This window comes from Homo sapiens, chromosome 20, assembly GCF_000001405.40.
Source record: "Homo sapiens chromosome 20, GRCh38.p14 Primary Assembly".
Lineage (NCBI taxonomy): Eukaryota > Metazoa > Chordata > Mammalia > Primates > Hominidae > Homo > Homo sapiens.
The window spans coordinates 7,698,282-7,724,996 of NC_000020.11; the positions used below are offsets into that span (position 1 = coordinate 7,698,282).

General features: G+C 37.3%; 1 long non-coding RNA gene across 4 annotated transcripts; it reads left to right on the forward strand.

The window, feature by feature from the left end:
• The first annotated feature begins 71 nt into the window (after positions 1–71).
• LOC105372518 (uncharacterized) lies at positions 72–26,715 on the forward strand. Of its 4 annotated transcripts, XR_937230.2 has the most exons (4): positions 72–202; positions 2,524–2,611; positions 3,730–3,887; positions 6,001–6,177. It is a non-coding gene; the product is annotated as an uncharacterized LOC105372518 (long non-coding RNA). The 4 variants fall into 4 exon arrangements; XR_937232.1 differs by lacking the exons at positions 3,730–3,887; positions 6,001–6,177 and adding an exon at positions 26,564–26,715; XR_937233.1 differs by lacking the exons at positions 3,730–3,887; positions 6,001–6,177 and adding an exon at positions 26,564–26,715 and having other exon boundaries at positions 2,524–2,607.

The following is a 26,715-nucleotide window of genomic DNA, read 5'->3' on the forward strand; positions in this document are numbered from 1 at the left end:
ATGGGATTATGACCCTTACAAAAGAGGCTTCACGCAGTGTTCTGTTCGCTTACCCTGCAGCTATTCTGCCATGTGAGGACAGAGCCTTCCTGCTATTGGGAGGATGCAGCAACAAGGTGTCATCTTGGAAGCAGGGATCAGCCCTCACCAGAAAACCAAATCTGCCACCACCTTGAACTTAGACTTCCCAGCCTTGAGAACTGTGAGAATATAAATTTCTCTTCTTTATAAATTACCCAGCCTACAGTATTTTGTTGTAGTAGTATGATGGACTAAAACACCAAATAGTTGGAAAAATGTAATTTGAAATGTATAAATATATTAAAGTGTATTCCAAAACCCAAATGAAATATACCAAATTTATATAGCAGAATATCTCCTTGGCTTTTCTTCAAGGAATCTATTTTAAGAGACTTATATCTATCCTAATCATAAATATATATCTGCTGAACTTCTTTGTTCTCTGGTCTAAACAAAGGTATGGATCCAGGGGTGAGAGGCATGGCAGAAGTATAAATTGTACAATCTAGTTAGGAAATCAGAACATACATAGGAAACCAATAGAGAACAGAGTAATACATACGGAACCTAAATATACTACTTAGGAAGTTGGACTCTCAAGAGAGAAAAGAAAAGATTGATACAGTATTCTAAAAAATCTTGGCACTTGAAGAAAGTCTGATTTTCTTAAATATTGTAATTTTCTTAAATATTGTAAGCAAGTCCTCAACAATATTGTATGAACTGTTATAGAAAAATAATAATAAAATTTGAGTTCTAATTACCTGCCAAGAGTCGTGCTAAGGGTTTTATATGCATTATTTAACTTACTTTTTCCAACGGTTCTAGAAAAGTTTGTCATTACATCCCTATCTTTAAAGGAGACAAAATTTAGGAAGTGATAAGTTAAGAGTTGAGAGATAGGGGCTAACTTGTCCAAGACTGACCCCTGCAGCCTGGCTTCTCAGAAAGGGAATTTTCCTTCTGCAATGTTCTGTGGGAAACCCACTCTGAGCAATCTTTAAGCCAATCAATACTGAGCAACATTGAAGCTTGAACCCCAACTCTTCCTCCTCCCACCCTCAATATGCCAGAGGAGAGGTTTATGCTTCAAGAACCAAGAACACCAGTGTTGTTGCTAGCTTACTAACAAGAACACCTCTCTGCTAGTTCACCACGTAATCCACCTGCAATTTCAACTTCTGGAATCATGAAAGCAGGACAGGAACTTGTGCCTCCCTCCACTGCCAGTCATCACTACTAAGCTGGTAGAAGAGGGGCGCAGTTTCTGCCACATCATTTTGCTATCATATCCTGGTCCCTGATAACACCAGGAGAAGGCCAGTGCTTCCCTAACCATGCAGCTTCAGAGCTCCATGGCCCAAGGGTCAGAATCACTCTTGCAAAGTCAGAAATCAGGGTTTTCCAAATCTTAGGTTACTGCCTCAACACAATGAGGCTACCAGGGGATATGAATACCTACTACTGATCCTAGGGCGGTGAGTTTGTCCAGTGAGTGCTGCTCCTGCAGACCTGTATGTGAGCACTTCTGAGTTTTTGCTCTTGTTTGTGCTGTTGTCACTTACCCAAAGTCTCACCTTCAGTAATGTCACATCCAAGGGGCAAATATTCCAAATTGATGGTGATTAAATGAATTAGTGAATATAATCCAGATTGTTGTTATCAATGAGTTGATAATAAATATTGTCGTCGAGCTGACATCATTTACATTATTTACATAAACGTCTAAAGGCAGTCTAAGATATTTTCAACATGTCTTTACAAACAGAATCTGTGATTTAAATGTGAAAAACTATTTTAAAATGCCATGATGTGTGGAACTGAGGGCTAAGATTATGTATACTTTTAAAACATGATCAGACCAAATAAAGGTTCAATGTAATGCCACAGTTCTACATGGGGAACCTTCTCCTGAATTTCAGTAGTGCTGAACATAAGGACATCATGACCAGATAAATCTGCCTTCATAAAGCTTAACATCTAGTGACAGTTCTTAGATGATAAACAAATGGTTCCAATCTAGGGTGCTATGTGGTAAGAAAGGAGTGGTTCTGCATGCCTTGAGGACAGAGAAACAGTTTAATCTAGACTTGTGGGGTCAGGAAGCGCAGGTGAAAAAATCAGGGGCTCCTCACCTAGTGCCATGCAGTTGGATTAAGAAAAATATTACATCTTTATTTTCAATAACTAACTAAAACTTAACATTTCCTTCTGTAATGACTGTAGGCAACAAACCACAGTAGCAGCAGAATATGTGATCACAGAATAGAAATTATAGATATTTTCACACCACATCACAACTATAGGAAATATATCTAAACATCATTTATGCTTATTATCACGTTGAAATTAGAGAGGTTATTAGTTCCACCACTACATGTTGTCACTTAAAACATTAATAAAGATGTTCATATATCAAATTTTATTTCCTCTAGTATTTTGATAGGTTTATTTCAATAGGACCTGTTCCCTTTGCTTAGTTTCTTTATTTTATGCATTTAGAACACTACATTGGGAAGGATTCATCATCATGACCAGATGTCACATGGGTCTATGATGCCAAAAAAGGAAGATCCCTGGAGAACAGTAGGTAGATGCTTGGAAGACCGGGTAACCCATGGGATTGCAAGTGGAGGTGGGGAGAGAGAGGTTGCCTGTTTATAAGAAACAAATAAGTGGTGTTCCAGGCAGAGGGAACAGAGTGTGCAACACCAGAGCAGCGAGCACTGGGAGAGACAAATGTCCCGAGTCTCTGGATCCTGCCAGAGAGGAAGAGCTTGGAGGGAAGCAATGTGGTTAAGAGACGCAAGACAAATTATAAATCATGCTGCTATAAAGACACATGCACACGTATGTTTATTGCGGCACTATTCACAATAGCAAAGACTTGGAACCAACCCAAATGTCCAACAACGATAGACTGGATTAAGAAAATGTGGCACATATACACCATGGAATACTATGCAGTCATAAAAAATGATGAGTTCGTGTCCTTTGTAGGGACATGGATGAAATTGGAAACCATCATTCTCAGCAAACTATCACAAGGACAAAAAAACCAAACACCACATGTTCTCACTTAGATGGGAATTGAGCAATGAGAACACATGGACACAGGAAGGGGAACATCACACTCCGGGGACTGTTGTGGGGTGGGGGGAGGGGGGAGGGATAGCATTAGGAGATATACCTAATGCTAAATGATGAGTTAATGGGTGCAGCACACCAGCATGGCACATGTATACATATGTAACAAACCTGCACATTGTACACATGTACCCTAAAACTTAAAGTACAATAATAATAAAATTTAAAAAAAAGAAAAAAAATTAAAAAAAAAAAAGAGACGCAAGACAAGCAAGGAACAGGTCTGTAAGCTCTGAAGAGGCATGCGGAGAAATGTAAATTTCATCTTAAGACACTGGGTGGTGAATAAAACTTTTGAAGCAAAATTTTCAAAATTATTTATTCCTCAATTTAAAAAAAATTGTTCTTTCCAAATAACTTTTTTTCTCAATCTTATTTCCTCAATATTTGAAATGATCCTGTGGTGTAGAGTCACACATTTTCTTATACTACATACAGATGGACAGAGATAACAGAGCATTTTAAGTGATTGCTTTTACAATTGGTTTGATCTTTCTTATGTACAAAAGTCAACTTAAACGTGATGTGAATGTCATATCTTCTTTTTCTCTAATTTTACAGCTGCTCCTATTTGGCCATTCTGTGTTCCATCTCCCTCTCTTCTCCCCCCAACAGAGGGAGAGCTCTTGTGTTCCATCTTGACATGAGGACATGTGTGTGTTGGCAGGAGAGGGTCCTGTGATGATGTCTGGCTATCCAGGAGCTACTATGGCAATAAGGTCTTGTATCTGCCTTTTCATTGCTTGCCTGGCTAGCATTACTGTGATAGTTAACTGCTCCTGACTGTGATCCATGCTTTCTAAGCCTAGTCAAAGAATGATGTTCCCTCCTGCTGACTTAGATCTTTCTTGGCTTTTGCTGGCAACCTTCCCACAGATGCCTGACCATGATTCTTGCCCAATTTTAGCCAGGCAGTAAACCCTGAAACTCTTGGCTACAGAGGTTTCTATTCCTACACCATGATGTTCCTCCTCTCTAGTTGTCATCGGCAATGGCTTCCACTCCATAATGAGACAAGCCGGAAATTGCAGCTGCTACTCCATCATGCCTGTTCTCTCTCTCTCTTTCTCTCTCTCTCCTCTCTCTCTCTCTCTCTCTCTCTCTCACACACACACACACACACACACACACACACACACACAGAGCAGGTCACATTGCTAATAATATATATCACCCTGTTACTGGGATATCCTGAGAGGCAGTGTATTCCCAAAATCCCAAACAGGAAAAACAGTAACTGCACTTGTTTTCTTTCCCTTAACTGATTGACAAAGACACCCTACAAGATTTGAGAGAGGAATGTAAAGGCACTGCATGAATCTGACCTGCTGCTCTCCCTCCTCATTGATTCCCTTCTCTTTCCGACAATCCACACAGGCAGAAGTTCTGGGATGTTCCCATCCTATTCCTTTCTGGCTGGCATTTCCCCTGTCATACCCTCCTTCCCACTGGCATACTAAAGTTCAAGGCTTAACCTAACTAGTGAAACAACCTATGATTTAGGTAAACCAGACATGACCTCAGTACAGAATTGTCAGACACCTTAGGAATAAGGCAATTGGAGGATGATAGCTCATTAGTTAATATTCTAAAAATAATACTCTCAGATCATCATTTTTCCTTGAAAATCATTTCTTTCAGTATGCTGCGCAGAATGACCTTAGACTCCCAATGAGCCTAGTCTCCCAACGAGTGAGAGCAGAGAGCCTCAAACATCTTTGTGTCTTGTCCTGGATGGAGATTCCTGCTCAAGCCACTGGCTCAATGGTCCAATCTTTGAGGAGATAGAATTTAAGCAGGCAGATCTGTACACTTTTACATGACACCCATCACCTCTCCTCTCGTGTGTCTCTTTTTCCCCCTCCTCTTTTTCTCTATTTCCCTTTTCTGTTTCTCCAAACCCCTCAGTTAACCCTTTCCCTGCCCCCTAGTCCTTGTCCACACAGAAAATCTGGTTCTAGAGAACAGTACTCAAACAGCCTCCAACTAAAATGCATTACGTGTGGTAATGCAAAAAATTATTAGAACAGTTTTTTTCTATTTAAAATATGACTCCTGTTCACTGCTTTGGTTTCCCTGTCTTTGTGCTTCAGGCTAAATATTACTCAGATTTCTGCGAGGCCAGGTGCTTTCTCACCAATTATCTGAAAGGCCCAGAGAATGGTACTTACATCAAAGCCAGTCCTAATGACAAAGGACACCTGGCCACGGCAAACACAAGCATCTCTCAGCTCCTCGCTCCATTTGGCAAAAAGCTATTTCCATCTCAGTCACAACATAACAAAGGACTAATTGATGGGAGCATTTTTTCCATCTTTCAAAAAATAAATTGAGCCAACCCCACGAGCTCATCTAGAGGAATTAATTAGGGAATAGGAAATCTCCAAAGCCATCCTTAAATTGACATTGAACAAAGCCCAGGGAACAGATGGCTTTTCATCTGAATTCTTTAAAACCTTTAGCACTCTACTAATTCCCCTATAGGAATGAAAAAAAATTGCTAAATGAATTTGAGCAAACTATTTCACCAGGTGTTCAGTTCCCCTAAGATTCCTTTTGCACTAAGAAAAAAAGAAAATACAACAGGTATCCTCTCTACTGATATTACTATAATTTCATTTGTACATGTGAGTTCTTCCCCCAGGGCTCATTCTAAACTTCCCCTGCATTTCTGACTACCAAGCTGGGGGAATGATTCTCTTAATTGGTGCAGCTGATCATGCACAACTGCTCAGAGCACAAGGACAGTGTCAACACACACAAAGTCGAGAATGAGGCCATTGTTCAAGCAAAATAGAAAAATAGAAAACAATTTTTGTCATTTTGTTTCAGATATCTGGAGATTTCTGGGGCAAGAGATGGAGAGGATAAACTGTATTATCCCAATAGTTGAGTAGATTTTTTTTCCCCGTACAAATTTGACATGTAGAAACATTGTGAATAAGAGAGACATTGCCTCTCATTTGCATAGTTAATAAGAAGCTGTCCTATTAAAGCCTCTAGAAGGATGAACTGCTGGAATTTATACTTTATCTATTCAAAGGATGTCTACATACAATCCTCCAAGATAATTTGGTAGAAAATTTTAAAACACTTTTTTCTTTTTAAAATTTGACAGATAAAATTGTATATACATACTATGTACAACAGGATGTTTTAAAATATATGGACATTGTAGGATAGCTAAATTAAGCTAATTAATATGCACATTACCTTACATAGTTGTTATTTTTGTAATAAGCATATTTAAAATCTACTCTCTTAGCATTTTTCAAGAATATAATACATTGTGATGAACTATACCTCCATGTTGTAGAATAGAGCTCTTAAAAATATTCTTCTTATTTAACTGAAGTTTTGTAACTTTTTACCAACAGGTCCCCATTACCTTCCTCTAGCGCCCCAGCCCCTAGAAACCATCACTGCACTCTCTGCTTCTATGAGATCAACGTTTTTAGACTCCACATGGGAGCGAGATCATGTGGTATTTGTCACATGCCTGGCCTATTTTACATAATGTCCTCTAGGTTCACCCATGTTGTCACGAATGGCAGGATTTCCTTCTCTTTTATAGGTGAATTGTATGCCATTGCGTATATATGCTACGTTTTCTTTATCCAGTCATCTGTTGATAGACACTTGGGCTGATTCCACATTTTGGCTATTGTGAATAGTGCTGCAATTAACAGGATAAATAAAATAATATAATAAATAAATAAAATAATATAATAAATAAAATAAGGAAATTGGTATGTCCAAGAGTGCGGATGTCTCTTGGACATACAAATTTCCTTTCCTTTGGATGTGTATCAAATAGTGAGGTGGCTGGCCCATATGATAATTTTATTTTTAAGCTCTTTGGGAATCTCCATACAGTTTTCTATAATGGCTGTACTAACTTACATTCCCACCAACAGTGTGCAAGTGTTTCCTTTTCTCACCTCTTGCCAACACTTGTTATCTTTTGTTGTTTTCTTTTGAAGACACGGTCTTGCTCTGTGGCCCAGGCTAGAGTGCAGTGGTTCAATCATGGCTCAAGCAGTACTCCAGCCTCAACCTCCAGAGCCGCCAGGACTACAGTAAGACGTGGTCTCACCATGTTGTTCAGGCTGCTGGTCTCTAACAACTGGGCTCAAGTGATCCTCCCATCTCAGCCTCCCAAAGTGCTAAGATTATAGTTGTGAGCCACTATGCCCGGCCTTTGTCTTTTTGATAATAGCCATTCTGACAGGTGTGAGATGATATTTTGTTGTTATTTTAATTGGCATTTCCCTGATAATTAATGATATTGAGCATTGTTCATATACTTTAAAACAGTTTTTCATTTATGATACATTTTGTTTTACATTTTAGACTGAATAATTTTATTTGGGATTCTGATATTTCACTAGAATATTTGAACATTCCAGTATACATTCCTTCATTTTAAACAATTTCCTTTAAACGCAGTTTGTACCCATAGCCTGAAACCATGCAATCAGGAAGGGTCTAAGGGGCCAAGGAGACTCTAAGATAACAGATGTCTTATGTGTGTAAATTCCGATACATGAATTAAAACATGCACTGAGGTCTGACCATGATGGCTCACACCTGTAATCCCAGCACATTGGGAGGCCAAGGTGGGAGGTTCACTTGAGGCCAGGAGTTCAAGACAAGCCTGAGCAACATAGCAAGGCCTCATCTTTACAAAAAATAAAAGAAATTAGGCAGGCGTGGTGGCATGTGCCTACAGTCCCGGCTCCTCAGGAGGCTGAGGCTAGAAGATCGCTTGAACCTGGAAGGTCAAAACTGCAGTGAGCCATGATCATGTCACTGATCTCAAGCCTGGGCCACAGAGTGAGACTCTGTTTCATATGAATAAATAAATAATAAAAATTAAAAACAAAAAAAACATGCTCTGAGTAATTCTGTGGTGGGGGTAGTGAAGGAAAAGTAAGCCCCTAAAGGAAAGCCTCTAAATCCATCAGCAAAATGGAGAAGGGTATTTTGGTTTCCAACGCTCAATCTCAACCCCAGGCCACTCCAAGAGCTGACTGAAAGACTCAATCCTGTATTGACAACAGCTGACTGGTCACTTTCTTTTCACCTTCCAGCCACCTGCCCATCAGAGCTACTACGACAGCCTTTGTCTTCACGACACACAACCTGGCACACAATCTTCCCAATCAACTGTACTCTAGACAAAGCTCTGACCATAAAGGTGTTCACTTTTATCACAACAGACCTACGGCAATTTTAGAGCCAGGAGTCTTTTATTCTAAAAGTAAGGCTATTAAGTGAAACTACTGGAAGCAGAAGTTGCACTAAAATTCAATAAATGGATACAGTTACACGTATACACATATATACTCAACCTATTGATTATACTACTTCTTCATTCAATAAACAGTCATCACTCTGCCAGGAGTTAGGGAAAAATTAGTGAGTAAAATAGAAATAATCTATGTCTTCTTAAGAGTTCTATGCTGCTTTGGGAGAGACAGTCAAATACCTCCACATGTATGTAATTATGAACTATAATAAATTATATGAGGATTAAAGGATAAGACAATATATAAAAGTAGAAACCAGTGTAGGCTGGAATGTCAAGAAAAACTTCCCTGAAAAATAAACTTTCGGACTGATATCAGAAAAAAATGAGTTGCCATTAACTGTTGTGAAAGTGATACAGGGTAGAACCCAAACCAGTGAGGGGAAACAGCGCGGGCAATGGCTCTGAGACAGGATCAAGCTGAATATCCTGTAGGAATTGAAAGAAATTTATGGGACTGAAAGGAATTCAGCAAAGGTGAAGAATGACCCTGGAGGGGTTTAAGCCTGAAGGGCTTTGAGGGACAGTAGAAGTCTCTTGTCTTTGTTTGGGTTCCTCAGAAGCAGACCATGAGACAAAGGTTCCAGTTGGAGGTGATCCCAGGAAACACCAGAGAGATGTGATAGAGAAGGGAAGATCAAGAATGGGTGACCAAGCAAGTCACCACTGCGGGCACCTGAGCTTCCTCCAGCTGCCAGGGAATGGGGATCCGGTATAGGACACGTACCTCGGAAGTATCTCACCCAAGAGGCAAAGCAGGCCGTGTCTTTACTCATTGTTTCTCAGTACTCTTGGATTGAAGGGTACTGTGTAGGGGAGGGTGAAACATTAATTTCCCAGCACCTCACAACAGCATGCCTATAGTTGAGCAGACTATGCTCAGAGCTCACCACAGAAAACCCTCAGGCCCTGAGAAGCTGGGCCATTGAGCATCACAGGGGTGAGACGGAAGGGACCTGAGCAGGTCGCTCATGTCATCAGCTGCATCACGCCAGGTCCACTCTTTTGTTCTCCTTCCTGCTTTCAGAGCAGCATGAGTAACATCAGAAAGCAGCAGAATTTATATCTCCATTTTTATTGTATTCTTCACACCCTTCTACATTTATATAACGGTACTGCACTTTACTTGTGTCAGTACTAAAGTCTCAACTACACCTGTCTGCAGTAGGTAGGGTTTATCACTCCCATTTTACACACTGGAAAACTGGAAATTACTGAGGCAGGACAAACTGCTCAAGGCCATATATCTAAAGGACAAGCACTATGATTCAAATTCAAGGCATTAGTTCCCACAGTCATTTTTATTCCCACCATAGCATGGTGACACTAGTGACATATGACAAGAGAGTCTACAAATTCGATTAAATCTTAACCATACAATTGACTTAAGGATCCCTAGGAAAAAAAGGGGACCCCATTACTTAGTATTCCTAATTCTAAAATGTATCAGAATACATTTTGAATGATAAAACATAACAATAGAATAAAAATAAAAGGTATACCTTTCCTCCCTATTACATCAATATTTAATAGATTTTAAGTGACGAGTAAGCATATTAATTATGGAAAACAATGGAAGATAAGGAGAGGGGTCTAATATGGTTGAATTTAACACCATCTGAAAGTGGAGGACAAGTACATAAACCAACTCTCTTAGCATGAAGATAAATGTCACCAGGCAGGTCTTATTATATTTCTATTAGACCTAAGCTTCTAGTTCTTCTGCTTTATAGGTGAGAGTAAATGAGACTGAACTGGGAGAGAAGCATGGCTTTCTGAAATTCTGTCTATATATGAAAGGTTCACCAATTATCTCCAGATCAATTTCTGAAGCACATGTTTGGGAGGCCGAAAATAATTTCTCATGTGCAAGTATTGCAGGTCAAATGTCAGCTTCGGGGACAGAGGTTGTGTTTTATAGACGCATACTTTAATGTGATTCTCATACTCTGGTTTATGATTTGCCTTTTCAAAGTGAATATTTCCACTCTGTTGGCCAGAGCGCTGGTCTTACTGTTGATTATGTGTCAAGACTTGAACATCATCCCACATTGTCTGAAAACTGAGCTCTTCCATGGCTTTGCACTGTGCAGTGTGATGAGAATGTAAAGAATAACCTGGTCTGAGAATGCCCAGTATTAAAAAAGGAAGAAGAGAAACCTGTAAGTAAGAAAGCAGATTTTTCTGAGTGCCCATTTTCTGAAGGAATTTCTGCTGACTTTGCAGCCCAGCGCCCTAGTTCCCAATACGCCTAACTCCATTTCCTGCAATGCACCTTTTCTAGATAATTGTTGTCTCAGAAGGGTGGGAATGTATTTATTTTTCTCAATATGACAATATATTTCTTTCAAAGGAGATATTGCAATAATAAGGATTATTGCAGTTTCTTACAAGAGAAATGTTTGATGTTGGGGTAACATTTTTTATCATGCTTTGTTTGCATATACTCTAAATTGTGTAGCACAATCTATTTTCAGTATTCTCTCCACCTGGCAGTTAAAACTAATGTCAATGTGGTGGGAGGAAACTTGTACTCCTGATAAATTTCAAAAGCCTGTCCCCCTTCCTCAGGAACAGCCTATACCCATGTTAGAAATTCTAATTCCTTTTTAAATAGTTTTACTTTAATTTAAAGAAAGCTCAGGCATAGAATAAAATGCCCACTAATTATGGAATCTAAATTTCTCTATCAAACTCACATTGAGAATGTAAAATTGTATATTGGACCTATGAGACACGCAGATAGACAATTCCAGTATGGAATTTGCAGGCTACTTAATTTGAATTTATCAACAGTTTATTTATTTATCTTGTTAAATATAAAATAATTCCTTCTAGTGGTTCCTTTTCCTACTGTGCCTTTGACATATTTGAGAATATTAAGTGAAATGATATTTATTTATTTAGTTAATGATCTATTTATTTTATTTTGAGATGGAGTCTCGCTCTGTCGCCCAGACTGGAGTGCAATGGCACAATCTCAGCTCACTGCAACCTCTGCCTCCTGGGTTCAAGCAATTCTCCTGCCTCAGCCTCCAAAGTAGCTAGGATTACAGGCGCCCGCCACAATGCCAGGCTAATTTTTTGTATTTTTAGTAGAGATGGGGTTTCGCTATGTTGGCCAGGCTGTTCTCAAACTCCTGACCTTTGGTGATCCACCCTCCTCGGCTTCCCAAAGTGCTGTGATTACAGGCATGAGCCACCGCTCCCGGCCAGGATATTTATTTTAACTTGTCCCAGATCAGCAATACATTCTGACTCCATATTTGTTTTCTTCAAAGTTTGTAGTAGATATAATGTTTGAGGGTAGTTTCATTTGATTCTAACTAAATACACATCAGTTCCATTTAGTTAAGTGAAATTAGAGAACTGGCACTGGGGATAATGCCAAAAAAGTATTTAACAAATTATCCCCAGAGATGTTACTTGATCTCAGGTTCTTGTCCTACAAAAGACTAAAATGTTTTGTAAAGATATTATGTCCTAAATCCTTGCTATCACCTGCAATAGAGGAACTCCTCAGTGGTCCTAGGTGGTCTACTTTTTCCTTTTTATACTCTTGTCCATGCCATGTGTCACGAATGTACATATTACAGATAGAAATTCATAATGCTAAGAAAACAAAGATGACAGATGCTCTCATTTTGAAAATAAATAATAGTGCCTGCCATTTTTCAAATGTACTTTTACCTGTTTTGTGGGCAGATTGTTTTACAAAAAAAAACAAAAAACAAAAAAAACAATTACAGTTCTAGACATCCGTAGATATTTTGTGGTTTTGCCACTGGCCACAAACCACATTTAAAGAAAATTCTTGCGACTTTTACTGTCACTGATTTGGCGAGACTTTCAGCAAACAAATTGTTTCAGGACATTGACGTCAGTAAAGTATGGTGCGCTGGATGATGCGATATTTCTCTTATAAAGAGTACTCAACACATTGCTCACTCTTCAGTCAGAGTTGGTAAACATTTGTACTGTTCTTAGAGACAAAAGGACATACGAGCAAACTTTTAAAAATCGGAATTTTCAATATGATTATGGGCACTAACATTTTTCATTCATTGAAGATTTTAAGAAGAGGATATAAATTATTTTTAAATTGAAAGATATAAAACTCAAGCCTGTCTAAATGACTTCAAATTATTTAAAGTATTCACTGAAAGAAAATTAAGTTTGTAGAATTAAACTATTTTTCATTGAGCCAACTGTTATGTGATACTTAGAAATTTGTTTTCACATCTCTCATTTAATCCTGAAGTCCACCCTTCTGTAGATGTTATTACTTCTATTTTACAAATAAGGAAACTAAATGCCAGATAAAGATATTATATGTTAGAATAGTGGGTTTCCACAGTTACTTGCATATTAGAATCACCTGGAGAGCTTCAAAAATATTGATGCCTCCATCCTAGCCCCACAAATTATGGTTTATTTGGTCTAGAGTGTAACCAGGGCTTTGGAATTTTGAAGAGATTCCTAGCTGGCTCCACTGTAAAGATAAATTCAGAAAACCCTTGGTCACAAGCGAGAATCACGTACTCTTTTATGTGGAAGTTCTTAGAAGTTATTCATGTTCTACATTTCATTAAATGTAATCTAGGGTATTTATCAGAACAGTCTAAAATTTGAGAATACAGGACTACTATTCTCAATATCACACTTTCACAAGAGAGATTCTTTTCCTTCTGGCTTAGTGATCACCTACATGCCTACTACATAGTTTTGTCATTATATATGGTCACAATAATGTCTAAATTTGATGAGTACTTCCTCTGTGCCAGACTTGACTTTACAAGTGACTCTTCAAGTGTCCATAATGCTGTAAGGCAGTCTATTTACTCCTCTTGGATGTGGGGAACCTGAGACACAGACTGGTGCTGTAGCTTGCTAAAGGCCCCAGGGCTAGCAGAGTGGCAAAGACAAGATTCAGATCTAATCTGCCAGAATGTCTTGCCCATATTCCTGATCACCACACCGCCTAATACGACTTCCATATCTGTGGATGATAATGATAAAATATTTTCAGGTAGGAGTGACCTGCACAGCTAATAGTCAAGTGTTCTTGTAAAATCAATCACTGAGGCTATTTTGACTTTAATTTCTTTTCTAAGGCTCTGGCTTTCCTTCATTCTAGCTCAGAAACCATAACTGGGTGCCTGATCTTGCTTCTTTCTCCCTTTCTCAAAATATATTACTGTGTTCCCACTGACTGTTCATTCATTTAACAATGAAAGAAAAAAATAGAATCCAATTCCTGGAAGCTACTGTTACTTGGGATTTCTGTCGCACACAGCCAAAGTCTTCTTAAAATTATTCACAGAAGATGGAATTAAATATAGACAAGGCTCAGTCAATAAAAGGCGCAAAAATTTCATGAAGAACTTTGAGAAAGACACCCACATGTCCATAAGCAGAGCAGCTGAGTAGAAAGCAATAGATCCCCTGTGAATTTCCCTACAGCACACTGAACTTCAAGAGCTTTTCCACTGTATTTCATGGCCTATTGATCCTAAAACAGTGTTTTAAGAAACTATATAGAAAATATAGACATATTTTCTTCTTAGGAATTATGTTTGTGCATGTGTTAATGACCCAAATAGTATCTAACAGAACGGACTTCAAATCACATGTTGTACTACTACACAATATACTCTATAATCCTGTGTGTGCAGAAAATTCAATGATTGTGAAAAAATACAGCAGTTTAATATAAAAGTTCAACATTTAGTTCAAGGACCTAAGAATGTCAGATAGTAATAAAAATCAACCTACAATTAGATGAATGATGATTTATTTTGTATTACTTTGAATACCAAGATAATATTCTATTAATAAAAGCTTCCATGCAGAATAAAGTGAGAGCTATTGAGATACCATCAGACTTTTCTTCCACAGCACTATATAAAATGGGGCATTGGAGAAGTATTTTTAGAGTTTCAGGAGAAAAGTTTGTGACCCAAGATTTCTAACCTCAGCCAAATCAACATTCATTAGTGAGAGCAGAACAACCTTCTCAGACACAAAATGACTCAGGAAGTATGCTACCCACTTATCTGTCTTGAAAAGATTACTCAAGGAAGTGCTTCATTCAACCAAGAAATGAATCAAAACCAATAAATTAACTCAATTTGAGGGTATGTGTGGTTCAAAGGAAAAGGCAGTGAGTAATGAACTTAACACAGAGTTGGTGTCTGAGTAATTGTTATAAACATAGTTATGAAACTTGACAAACGTCAAAAACTAACTCATGGATGGAAAAGAACATATTGTTAAAAACAAATTAACAGCAATATCCAGTTTTATTTCAATAAAATAAGAATAGTAACAGGACTGAGGAAGAAAGAAGAAATGCCAGTATTTTAAATTTCTTATTCTGATATAGTAGAAGAATCATGTTTTATCAATAACGTTTATTGATTTATTTACCCATTTAGCAAATAGTTGTTCAGCATTTTCCTGTGCAAAGATCTGGTTCAAAGTTGGTGTGGCAGAGATTAACAAGCAGGACTGGCTCTCTATTCATACTGCATACAATTTAATTTACAAATTAGTTTGTTTTTAATGTGAAAAAGAAGAGGGTAAAGATAGTGTATGTAACTTAAAATCACTATAGCAAGTAAAGCGTTAAGAAAGTTTAAGCGATATTTCAAAAAATAGAAACAAAGATCAGATGGGAAACAAGAAAGCAATAAATGCAAAAGTCATGAAATGAAGTTCATGAGAAATTTCAGTCAACTTGTATAGATTTAACATTTGTTAAAAGAAAGTGATTTTTAGATTACATTAAACTATTTTTAGATGTAAACAGGAGACACTAATAAAATGTGATGACAATATTTTCAGCAAAATAGATGAATGGGCAAACTATGACAGGAAAATGTAGACAAAAAACAAAGGCAGTGAATAAATACAAGAAAAAGTAGAATTCTAGGCAAAATTATTAAATTTAAAAAAGAGAAACATTTTATATTGATAAGGGTTTAGTTCACAGTGAAGCAGTAATAAACTGTTAGGCATCAGATAACATTCGAAATATATGTAAAACACAAATAATTACACTTAAGCAAATTAAAATTATACCTATATATAATTAAAATGATTTGACATTGCTATTTCTTCATCAATGCTAGATGTAACAGACAAAAATTATATTTAAAACATCATATAAATTTAATGATTTAAAAAATGAGCTGATTAAGCAGCTACATACACACGTGATACACATATTAATGGAACATATATAAAAACCAATTCTACTGTAGTTAAAAAAATTCTAATTATATTCTAAAGTGTAGAACTTAGCCACATACTTTGATCATACCGAAATAAAACTAGAACTTAAAAAGAGAAGAATGACAGTTAAGACTCAAACTACTTAGAATGTTAACAAATAAATCTCCTAAGTAAATATTTGGCCAAATAAAAAAATCAAAGCTAAAGATTTAGAGAATTTAGAAAATAACAATAATGATAATTGTTAAGGAATATATGTAAAAATTTATGAAAGGTTCTGTAAACCTATACTCAATGGAAAATAATATTTTAATAATAATATTAATATAAATAAGCATTTGAGTCAAAGAGCTAGAAAAATAAAAATTTGATATATTGAAATGTAGTACATTTATAATCTTTAAAAATAATTATATCTTTTTAAATATTATGACTTTATCATTTGTATATCATCAGCCAAAGAACTGCCCATTTCAATAGTGGCTTTTATAACATTAAAGACAAAAATACGTGGTTCTTAGGTCAGTTTCAGGGAAATAGTTTTTCTTTTCCTCAAATTTGTTGGTTTATGATTTTTAAACTAAATTTGTCTTTAAATTGTATGTGCAATTTACAGCTTACTTTAGTTTGCACCCCATTATCCTCAGGTTAATCATCTATTTTGCACTGTGTTTAATTTTTAAACCAATCCCAAATGGACTTAGTGGCATGACAGTGCTCTGCTAGTAAATGTTTAACAGCCAGGACACTGTGTGTTGGGGGTGAGGAGGTGTGTGTGGTGGCTCAGGGGCACTGCAGATTTAAAGCATTTGCTACTTTCTGTGATGTAGAGTCTCACCACGTCCAATTTCATGCTACCACCTTGAGGATACTGAATGTAAAACTGGGAAAAGATGCACAGAATTAGCTCTTGCTATCTAGTGCAAACACACCAATGCACATATACTGAATGTATGAGTACCTAATGATGGGTGGATGGATAGATGGGTGGAGGGAGGCAGGGAGGGAGGGAGGCAGGTAGGGATGGAAGTAGGGAGGAGATAAAATTATTCCTTGAAAAGGATACCAAATTAGCCAATATATTCTGTTGATTAGTTTTTTTTAAACAAAAAAAATTTAAGCTTGGTCTTTCAATGCCATTTCTGAGCTAATATATTTTGTTGAAAATCTTTAAACGACTATGAGGGACCATTAAAATATCAGTATCAGGAATAAACAGAATAGGAATTCTGTTATAATCAGATACAGCTTTGAAATAGATTTGAAAGTTTCTCTTAAAAGTACTGGTCAGTACTCTGCTCCTTGGTTCAGCAACCACAATTCACTGCACTCCAACAGTTCTTAACTAACACTTGTGTACTTGTGTAACCTTAACTACTAGATAGTTATCGTTGATAAACTGCCCAAAGTTCTAAAACATTAAGTTCTATAATTGAAGGAACACTACAACTTTCAGCAACTCCCTTAAGTTAGACAAGGAAAGTAGTGATTCTACTCTTGATACAATTTTTTTAAGGACTAGCCTATGACAGCCCATTTATGCCTAGTGTTCCATTATTGGAACGCTAAGCAGGTGGGAGTTATTTATATCCTACTGCGCAAGGTCATAGCCAAGGTCTGATTGTAAAAATTCAAAAACTTGAAACCTCAGACATACATGGGTTAAATTCTTAGTTAAGTGGTGCATAATTTACATTTTGTCCCCACTATATCGACTAGAAATCTGAAGGCCTGAGAGAGCTCTTACCTAGTGAATGGCTGGGTTCCTTGACTCAGATGTATGAGATACTAAGCCCAGCACACAAACTTTATAAATGTTTTTGAACTGATCTTTTTGCTAATTAGTCTAGGTTCTAGATTCATTAAATTGAGTTTGTATATATACACACATATATATAAAAAATATATATATAAATCTTACCACAACTCAACCATTACAGGCCTCACTATTTCATTTGTCAAGTCCTAGTCCCAGTTTGAAATTTTAAAACAGTAAAATATAATGAAATTCACATACAACTAAAATCTTTAAGTTCAACACAGTAACAAAAGTGTTCTTTGACTATAATATTATTCTTGGTGAGAAGTACAACTAATCATTTGGTATAATTCCTATTGCTTGTAATTGCTCCTCTTAGATTTTTTTTCCTCCAGATTTCATCTTACCCCCTCAAGATGCTACCATCAAATGTGAAAAGAAGACAATTTGTGATCCAAAAAGCAAACCCCCAAAGCAGTAACATTACATCTTAAATCTTTCCAATTACACCTCCAGCTACTAAGCGGTTAATATTTTGCCTTCTCTACAGACCACTGTCAAATCTTCATGCAGATGACTTGGAGCAGTTGTGCTGGATTTGCAAAGTATATTTGCAAAGACATGGAGGAGACGATAAAAACAGTTGCTTTGTTATGAAAATATACACATACATATAGTATGATGGGTGCTGCAATAGACGTGGGAGTACACGTACCTCTTCGAGAGCCTGATTTCATTTCCTTTGGCTGTATACCCAGAAGTGAGATTGCTGGGCCATACTGTAGTTCTATTTTTAACTTTCTGAGGCACTCTCCTACTGTTTTCCACAACTGCTCCATCTTTTTACATCCGTACCATATGTGACCATATGGATGAACCTGGAGGACATTATGCTAAGCGAAATAAGCCAGTCACAGAATAACAAATGCTGCATTATTCCACTTATAGGAGGTATCTAAAATAGTCAAACTCATAGAAACAGAAAGTGAAATGGTGGTTGCCTGGGGCTGGGGGAAGGGGAAATAGGAAGTTGCTGTTCAATGGATATATAGTTTCAGTCATGCAAGATGAATAGGTTCTAGAGATCTGCTGTACAGCATTGTGTCCATACTTAATACTGTATTGTGCACTTAGAGTTTGTCAAGAGGCTAGATCTCATGCTAAGTGTTTACCACAATAAAAAATGTTTAATTAGAAAATGCTAAATAAAATACTAGCAAATTTTAAAAATAAAGAACCAGGATATTGTCTATTTAAAGAGTTTCCAACATTATAGAGTAAATAGATGATTATTTTAGAATCACTTTATGCATGTTCCACTTAAACATGCCAAAGGAACTTTCTGCTAATGAACATGTTAATAACTGGAATATCATGTTCAAATCTGCAAAGGAGGGATGCAACACCTATTTAAAGGAAAATTCTTACATATTTCTATGTAGGCATTGAAAATTTCTAAAAGAGCAGCTCTCAGAAATCACAAAATTTATAAAAGAATAAAGGAATAATTCAGTGATTTATGGAAGCCATGCTGCAAATAATTAAAGACAAAACCTAGGCATTACCATTCAGGACATAGGCATGGGCAAGGACTACATGTCTAAAACACCAAAAGCAATGGCAACAAAAGCCAAAACTGACAAATGGGATCTAATTAAACTAAAGAGTTTCTGCACAGCAAAAGAAACTACCATCAGAGTGAACAGGCAACCTACAAAATGGGAGAAAATTTTCGCAACCTAATCATCTGACAAAGGGCTAATATCCAGAATCTACAATGAACTCAAACAAATTTACAAGAAAAAAACAAACAACCCCATCAAAAAGTGGGCAAAGGATATGAACAGACACTTCTCAAAAGAAGACTTTTATGCAGCCAAAAGACACATGAAAAAATGCTCATCATCACTGGCCATCAGAGAAATGCAAATCAAAACCACAATGAGATACCATCTCACACCAGTTAGAATGGCAATCATTAAAAAGTCAGGAAACAACAGGTGCTGGAGAGGATGTGGAGAAATAGGAACACTTTTACACTGTTGGTGGGACTGTAAACTACTTCAACCATTGTGGAAGTCAGTGTGGCGATTCCTCAGGGATCTAGAACTAGAAATAACATTTGACCCAGCCATCCCATTACTGGGTATATACCCAAAGGACTATAAATCATGCTGCTATAAAGACACATGCACACGTATGTTTATTGTGGCACTATTCACAATAGCAAAGACTTGGAACCAACCCAAATGTCCAACAATGACAGACTGGATTAAGAAAATGTGGCACATATACACCATGGAATACTATGCATAAAAAATGATGAGTTCACGTCCTTTGTAGGGACGTGGATGAAACTGGAAATCATCATTCTCAGTAAACTGTCACAAGGACAAAAAACCAAACACCGCATGTTTTCACTCATAGATGGGAATTGAACAATGAGAACACATGGACACAGGAAGGGGAACATCACACTCTGGGGACTGTTGTGGGGTGGGGGGAGGGGGGAGGGATAGCATTAGGAGATATACCTAATGCTAAATGACGAGTTAATGAGTGCAGCACACCAGCATGGCACATGTATACATATGTAACTAACCTGCACATTGTGCACATGTACCCTAAAACTTAAAGTATAATTATAATTAAAAAAAAGAAATGGCATCAACATGAAGCTGCCCATTCCACTGAAGTTCTGAAATCTTTCATCATGTAAATAATTTCCATATTTCTCTTTTATAATAAACTAATGATAACTAATGACAAAAAAGAAAGATTTAAGTTGAAAATAGAAAAAAGTAGGACGTGTCTAAATATCAGTACAAGAATTAATAAAAAGTGGAGTTTTCTTGTCTCTTCTATCAACTTAATATCCCAAGCATCAACGTAGATTGATGACTCTCTCTAACATTAAAAAAAGAGGAAATAATAACATAATTAAAAAGAAAAACAGAAAAAAATAGTGAAATGCAATCACTTCCACCACTGTGACTTTGGTCCCGGTCTTCCTCATTTCCAGTCTCGATTATAGCAATAGCATCTTAACTGGTTTCTCTGCTTCCAAGCTTATACATTACCTTCTGTTCTGCACGTGGTAGTTAGAATAATCCCTAGACAACCAAAATCAGATGAAGTTATTCCTGTGGTTGAAACATCACATTCTGGATTAAATGCTTTCTGTAGTCTAAAATGTCCTAGGCATATAGGACATTTTATCTTTTAGACTTCATCTCCAACGACTTTCTCTTTTTCTTTTCACTTGCTCCCTTCTTCCCAATAAGAATGTAAACTACGTGCTAGGTGGGACTTTATGGGTTTGGTTCACTCTGATGCCCCCAGAACCTAGTACCTTTACTAAAGTAGGTCTTCACACATTTGCTGAGTGAATGAAGTAATAAAACCAAGTGATATGTTCACGCAACGGAAAACTATACAGCAGTTCACATCAATAAACTAAATAAATATTATCAGCCTGGAAAATATGTCAAACCACAATGCTGAGAAAAGTTGAAGAATATTATGTTGAAATTGAAGACATTTAAATCAAAGTGGCCTAGTTTGGAGAATCTGTATTACTTCCTCCACCAAAACATTCAAAGTTTACACACACACACACACACACACACCAATTATTTATAATTTTAAGATGAGAAAGCTGAGTCCCAGGAAGTGTGATCACTTGCCTTAAGTCACAGAGCCATGCGTGAGTAATGACATGGGGCAAGGACTGAAAATGACCAGTTTACTTGCCTCCTTCATTCTTCCAATGACCTTAATAGTGCTAAGAATTTTATGCCAAATAGCACTCAGATATGAGCTTCCTGAGAGCTCCTCAGTGAAAGCAGGACCACCACTATTCTCTCTTTTCTTCTTTCTCACCATTACCATAGGTGAAGTAAGTGTGAATATTACTCCAAAAATGTGAATGCAAAAAGCAAATCATTTCTTTCTTTTTCTTGTCTCTTACAGTGTACACCATGCCGCCTACATGGCGCAAAATTTACTCAGGACTTATCAATGCCCACCCTCCCCTCACACCACTGATCTGTGAGGGCTCAGAGATTGTATATAAAGAAAAATATTCATGCAGGCCCTTCAGTCATCCTTGGGTCACCCTGATCATTATGGAATGGCTTAATGTCCAGGTTTGCATCTTTCTTGCAGCCCCTAATTAAGGACCATGCTTGAGCAACATGCAAGCTCTGTGCTCTGGGGAGCCTTGAAATGCTTTAAATCCACCACATGGACAGTGATTCTTCTACCACTTTCCATGGGTTCCCACCACTCATAACATCCCCCAAATTTTGTGGGAGTTGTCTTGGGAATACCTTCTTACCTCACCTGGTGGTCTCGCCTGCCACGTATATCATGTTGTCAGTTGTCTTGGGCTAATGGAAAAAGAAGGTGGGCAGGGATGGGGAGGATCAGTGGGAAGATGAGTGGAAGGCAGATCCCGAGTGCAGTGGTGTATGAAGCCTACCCATAAATAAAAGCCAAGCTACAATTGTGATGTAAGCAAGGAAGGAGCAGTTCATGATGCCGTGAGGGACTTTGCAAGAATTTCTTGAGAAATTCCCAGTCAGCAGAGGCCTAAGGTATAAGTAAGGGTTAAGAAAGGGCAGCAGGATGAAGAGCATCCTGGGGGAAAAAAAAGCTGCTGCAATGAAACAAAGTGGGAGGGAACATGGTGCACGTGCCACACAGTAAGTGCTCGGTAAATGCGCGTTACTGTAATAATAACTTATTATTATCACTATTTAGGGTATATATCCAAATAAGATATTTTTCTCTGTTCAGAACAGAGATGTTTGGAAAATTAAGCATAAATACAATTGAAAACGTGAGAAACATCCAATACAGGAAGTAAAAAGAGAGACAATCAAAGCCATGGATGTGAGCCTGACGGGTTTCACCCAGCCCTAACTAAGAGAGGCAAAGGACAGCACTCATGAACAGCCAGATCAGAGGGGGGAAAAAAGACTTTTCCTGGGAAGGCTGGGTTTGTAAAGGAACATTAGGGAAAGAGAGAGAACAACATGATAAGCTGCATTCTCACACATTTAAGATACAATTCCTTTCCCCACCCCAACTCTCCAGGTTTCCTGAATTAATTGGAAGGAAACTGTTATATTTCCTTAATTCCTGAAGTGGGAGTTAAATCTAAATCTAACAAATGACATTTTCTTTTTCTTTTCTTTTCTTTCTTTTTTTTTTTTTTTTTGGGATGGAGTTCCACTCTTGTTGCCCAGGCTGGACAGGCTGGAATACAATGGCGTGATCTTGGCTCTCTGCAACCTCCGACTCCCAGGTTCAAGTGATTCTCCTGCCTCAGCCTCCCAACTAGCTGGAATTACAGGCACATGCCACCACACCCAGCTAATTTCTTTTATTTTTAGTAGAGACAGGGTTTCACTATGTTGGCCAGGCTGGTCTCAAACTCCTGACCTCGTGATCTGCCCACCTCAGCCTCCCAAAGTGTTGGGATTACAGGTGTGAGCCACCGCACCCAGCCAATGTTTCCTTATTTCTATTTTTATACTAGTAGAAGTTTCAACTGACCAGTCTCCACTGAATGATACACTAAGCCAAGATATTTTAATTTTCTCTAATAAATGTTTTCACTTCTTTTCTTTTCTCTTTTCTCTTATCTCCCAAGCACAGCCATCCCACCATAGGAAAATAGAAAGAAAACTTAAAATTTACCAATGGATAGGGCATCAGTCCACTCAAACAGAAAACAGTAAGTGCTGCAATGTGTAGCAAGATCTGCTTATTATATCTTTAGTTTCCTTCAAGAAGACATATGGTTGAATTCGGGAACCCATTTCTTCTTCCCCCTGAAACTTACAAAAGAGTGGTACACAACTTCCTCTTTCCTTCTCTCTTCTCCCCCCATTCCCTATCCACACAAGCTCCTACCCATCCCCATAGCCTCAGGCTCCTGAAGTGATGAGATCACAGGCTTGGGCCACCATGCTGGCTGAAGATACTCTTTTAGGGGTAGATGGAGACCCTGTCACTGACGATTTGACTCCTGTTTTCTGGCCAGTTCTTCTGAAGCCTGTGCTTAATATAACCACAGAATGTACCTTTTGAAACTTCTCCAGCAACTGAAGTAGGTGACAATCTAAACATAAAAGTACTTAGAAATTCCAGTTATCATTTTGAAACAGTGTTCCTTTTGTTTCAAGATTCACATTGGATTAGATTAGTTTGGCCCTGAGAATACATATTGCTTGCCAGTGATCTCCAGACATCCTTAACACTGCCCCAAAATAAAACTAGACCCCCAGCCCCAGGAAAAGATCAACATTGATAAAGGACACAGCATGGTGTGTGTTTGCTCAGGATTTGTGTCTTCTTAATTAAATATTTTTCAGCCCCTGTCTCAGAAAATGGAAAGCACAATTGAAGTAACACAAGGCACATAGTGTTTTAAGATTGTCTATGAAATGGAAACTAAAGGCCACAATATTATACTGTAGCTATTACTAAGTAACTTTCAAGGCTATTCTTTGAGAACACAAACAATAGACCAAAAAGTCATAAAATGTGTTAATTTTATTAAACAAAAAATGATTGTGTAACATTTCCTAAAAGTGATATTATCATTATATAACCCTCACTGATAATAATAGATGGGTGGATCTTTTTTTTTTACTTATTTTATTTTATTATTATTATACTTTAAGTTTTAGGGTACATGTGCACAACGTGCAGGTTTGTTACATATGTATACATGTGCCATGTTGGTGTGCTGCACCCATTAACTTGTCATTTAGCATTAGGTATATCTCCTAATGCTATCCCTCCCCACTCCCCCACCCCACAACAGTCCCCGGTGTGTGATGTTCCCCTTCCTGTGTGCATGTGTTCTCATTGTTCAATTCCCATCATTTTAATATGCTTTAAATAAAAGGGTGGTCAGCCCTGATTTCACATGGGATGTATTCACTATGAGGCTGAATCACTCCTGTCCTTTATCATGCCGCCTATGTCTGTCCCAAGAATGTTGCCAAAGAAAGTAATACTGGTGACTCCCAGTGTCCTGGAATTTCTCAAAAGTTTTTCACAGAACCATACTTCCGACAGCTGAATTGTTTGGAAAATAATTGGCATGCTACTTACTGAATTACAGGAGAGTCTATCTGAAATTAAACTTGAAATCAAAACGAAAGCCTTTACGGGATTCCAGCAAAATCTGAAAGTGAGATCAAAGGCAGTGAAATGTGTAATTACATCACCCAAAAGCTTATTTTCAATAAATAATTTGGACATGTGAACCTACTAAGTGATAAATGCTAATCACACATTCACTCATTTAAGTTCTAAATTCAATCTGAAACAAGCGAGATTACATTTTTAAACATTAAAAATTTATTTATAGACTTAAAGTTTATAACTTATTTACTTTCTAAATTATATTGAGATTATTTGCAATAATTTTAAAAATAAGATTTTTCTTCCTAAAATGCCAATAGAATCCCTTGGAGAAATACGGTAGGTACTACCTGAGAAAATTCAGGGTTACATTATTAATGGCAAAGTGGTAGGGAAGTATAATTTGGGGAGAAGAGTGGGAGAGGGAAAAAAGTTTATGGATAGATTATCAGCAGTGACTGCCATGGGAGGGTTATGGAGCTATTCCAGAACAGTCTTGGCCCAGCTGAAGCCCCATATCCTGTTGATTTCTGATTAGGACATACTCCATGTTTGCTCACCCATCGTGAGTCAGAATCAAGTTTTGTCATGTGGTGGATGGGATCCATCTTTACAACTTGAATGCCACATATTGCACCAACTACCCTTTTTATACATGGGATTTAATGTGTAACTTTTGGATCAACCTAATGATTATACAACTTTGTTTACTTTGTATTACATGATTAATTATGACATAACAGAAGTGGGTTGAAATTCTCCCACTACTAGAGTGCCATATAATGTAACAATTTAAAACATAGTCCCTGGAACACAACTGCCTGAGTTCAAACCCTCACCTGTGTTGCTCTGAAAAAATTCCGTAACACCAGAAACTCAATATTTTCATCAATAAAATTGGAAGTAATAAGCAGTGATTAAATGTATGAACTCTAAAACAAAATGCCTGATTTTAATGTTGGCATTTTCTACTTATATTCTGTGTGATCTAAAACAAATTACTTAATTTGTTGCCTATGCCTGAATTTTCTGATCTATAAAATGACAATAATAATAGCAATATAGCCCAATCAGTTCTTAAGTAAAGACTAAATTATATACTATTATATACCTAATTGCTTTTCCAAAAGATTGTTAAAAATTGCCCCTATTCTTGGGTACTATCAGTTTTATTTTTAACAGTCTGATAGAAAAATCAACTGAATTTTAAAAATAACCCTGACTGGATGAACTTTTTCTCATAGATATAATGCCCATTTTTAACATTTATTCAAAATCTTTGCAATTCTGTTTGTTATTAACGTTTCCTTGTAATTTTGTGGAAACTTGCTATATGTGAAGAGTATTTCATCTTTGTCTAATTTTCATTCATTTATTAATTCTACAGATATTTACTGAGTGCCTACTATATGCTAGAAACTATTGCAGGTGCTGGGGACACAGCTATGAACAAATTAGATCAAAATCCCTGCCTTTATGAAGCTGATGTTCTGTCATTGAGACCAAAAATAAATTAATCAATAATTGTATGCTCTAGGAAAAAAAACAGTAAAGGGATATAGAGTGCTTAGATTGGGGAAGGATTAGTTGTTTTAACTAGAGTGGTCAGGGTGGGCATCATGAAGAAGATGACACCTGAGCAAACATCTTAAGGAAGTAAGGAGAAGAGACACTGAGATCACCGGGGAGGTAACATCCAAGGCACACCAACGAGCAAATAGAAATTAGACACGAATTTGGCTGAGATGTTTAGGAACAATTAGCCAGCGGTGCAAACAAGAAAAGGTGGGGCAAGAAGAAATAAAGGAGTGCAGATGTATGATGTATATATGATATTATAAGGTTTTTAACTTTAATTTTGAGTAAGATAGAAGCAATTGGAAAATTTGTGGCAGATTTTCATGATCTGACTTATTTTTTAACAGGTTCACTCTGTCTATGATCTTTACCATAGACTATGGGGCAAGGACAGAAGCAAGAAGACCAAGTAGAAGTTTATTATAGTCCGGGCGCGATGGCTGACGCCTGTAATCCCAGCACTTTGGGAGGCAGAGGCGGGCGGATCACGAGGTCAGGA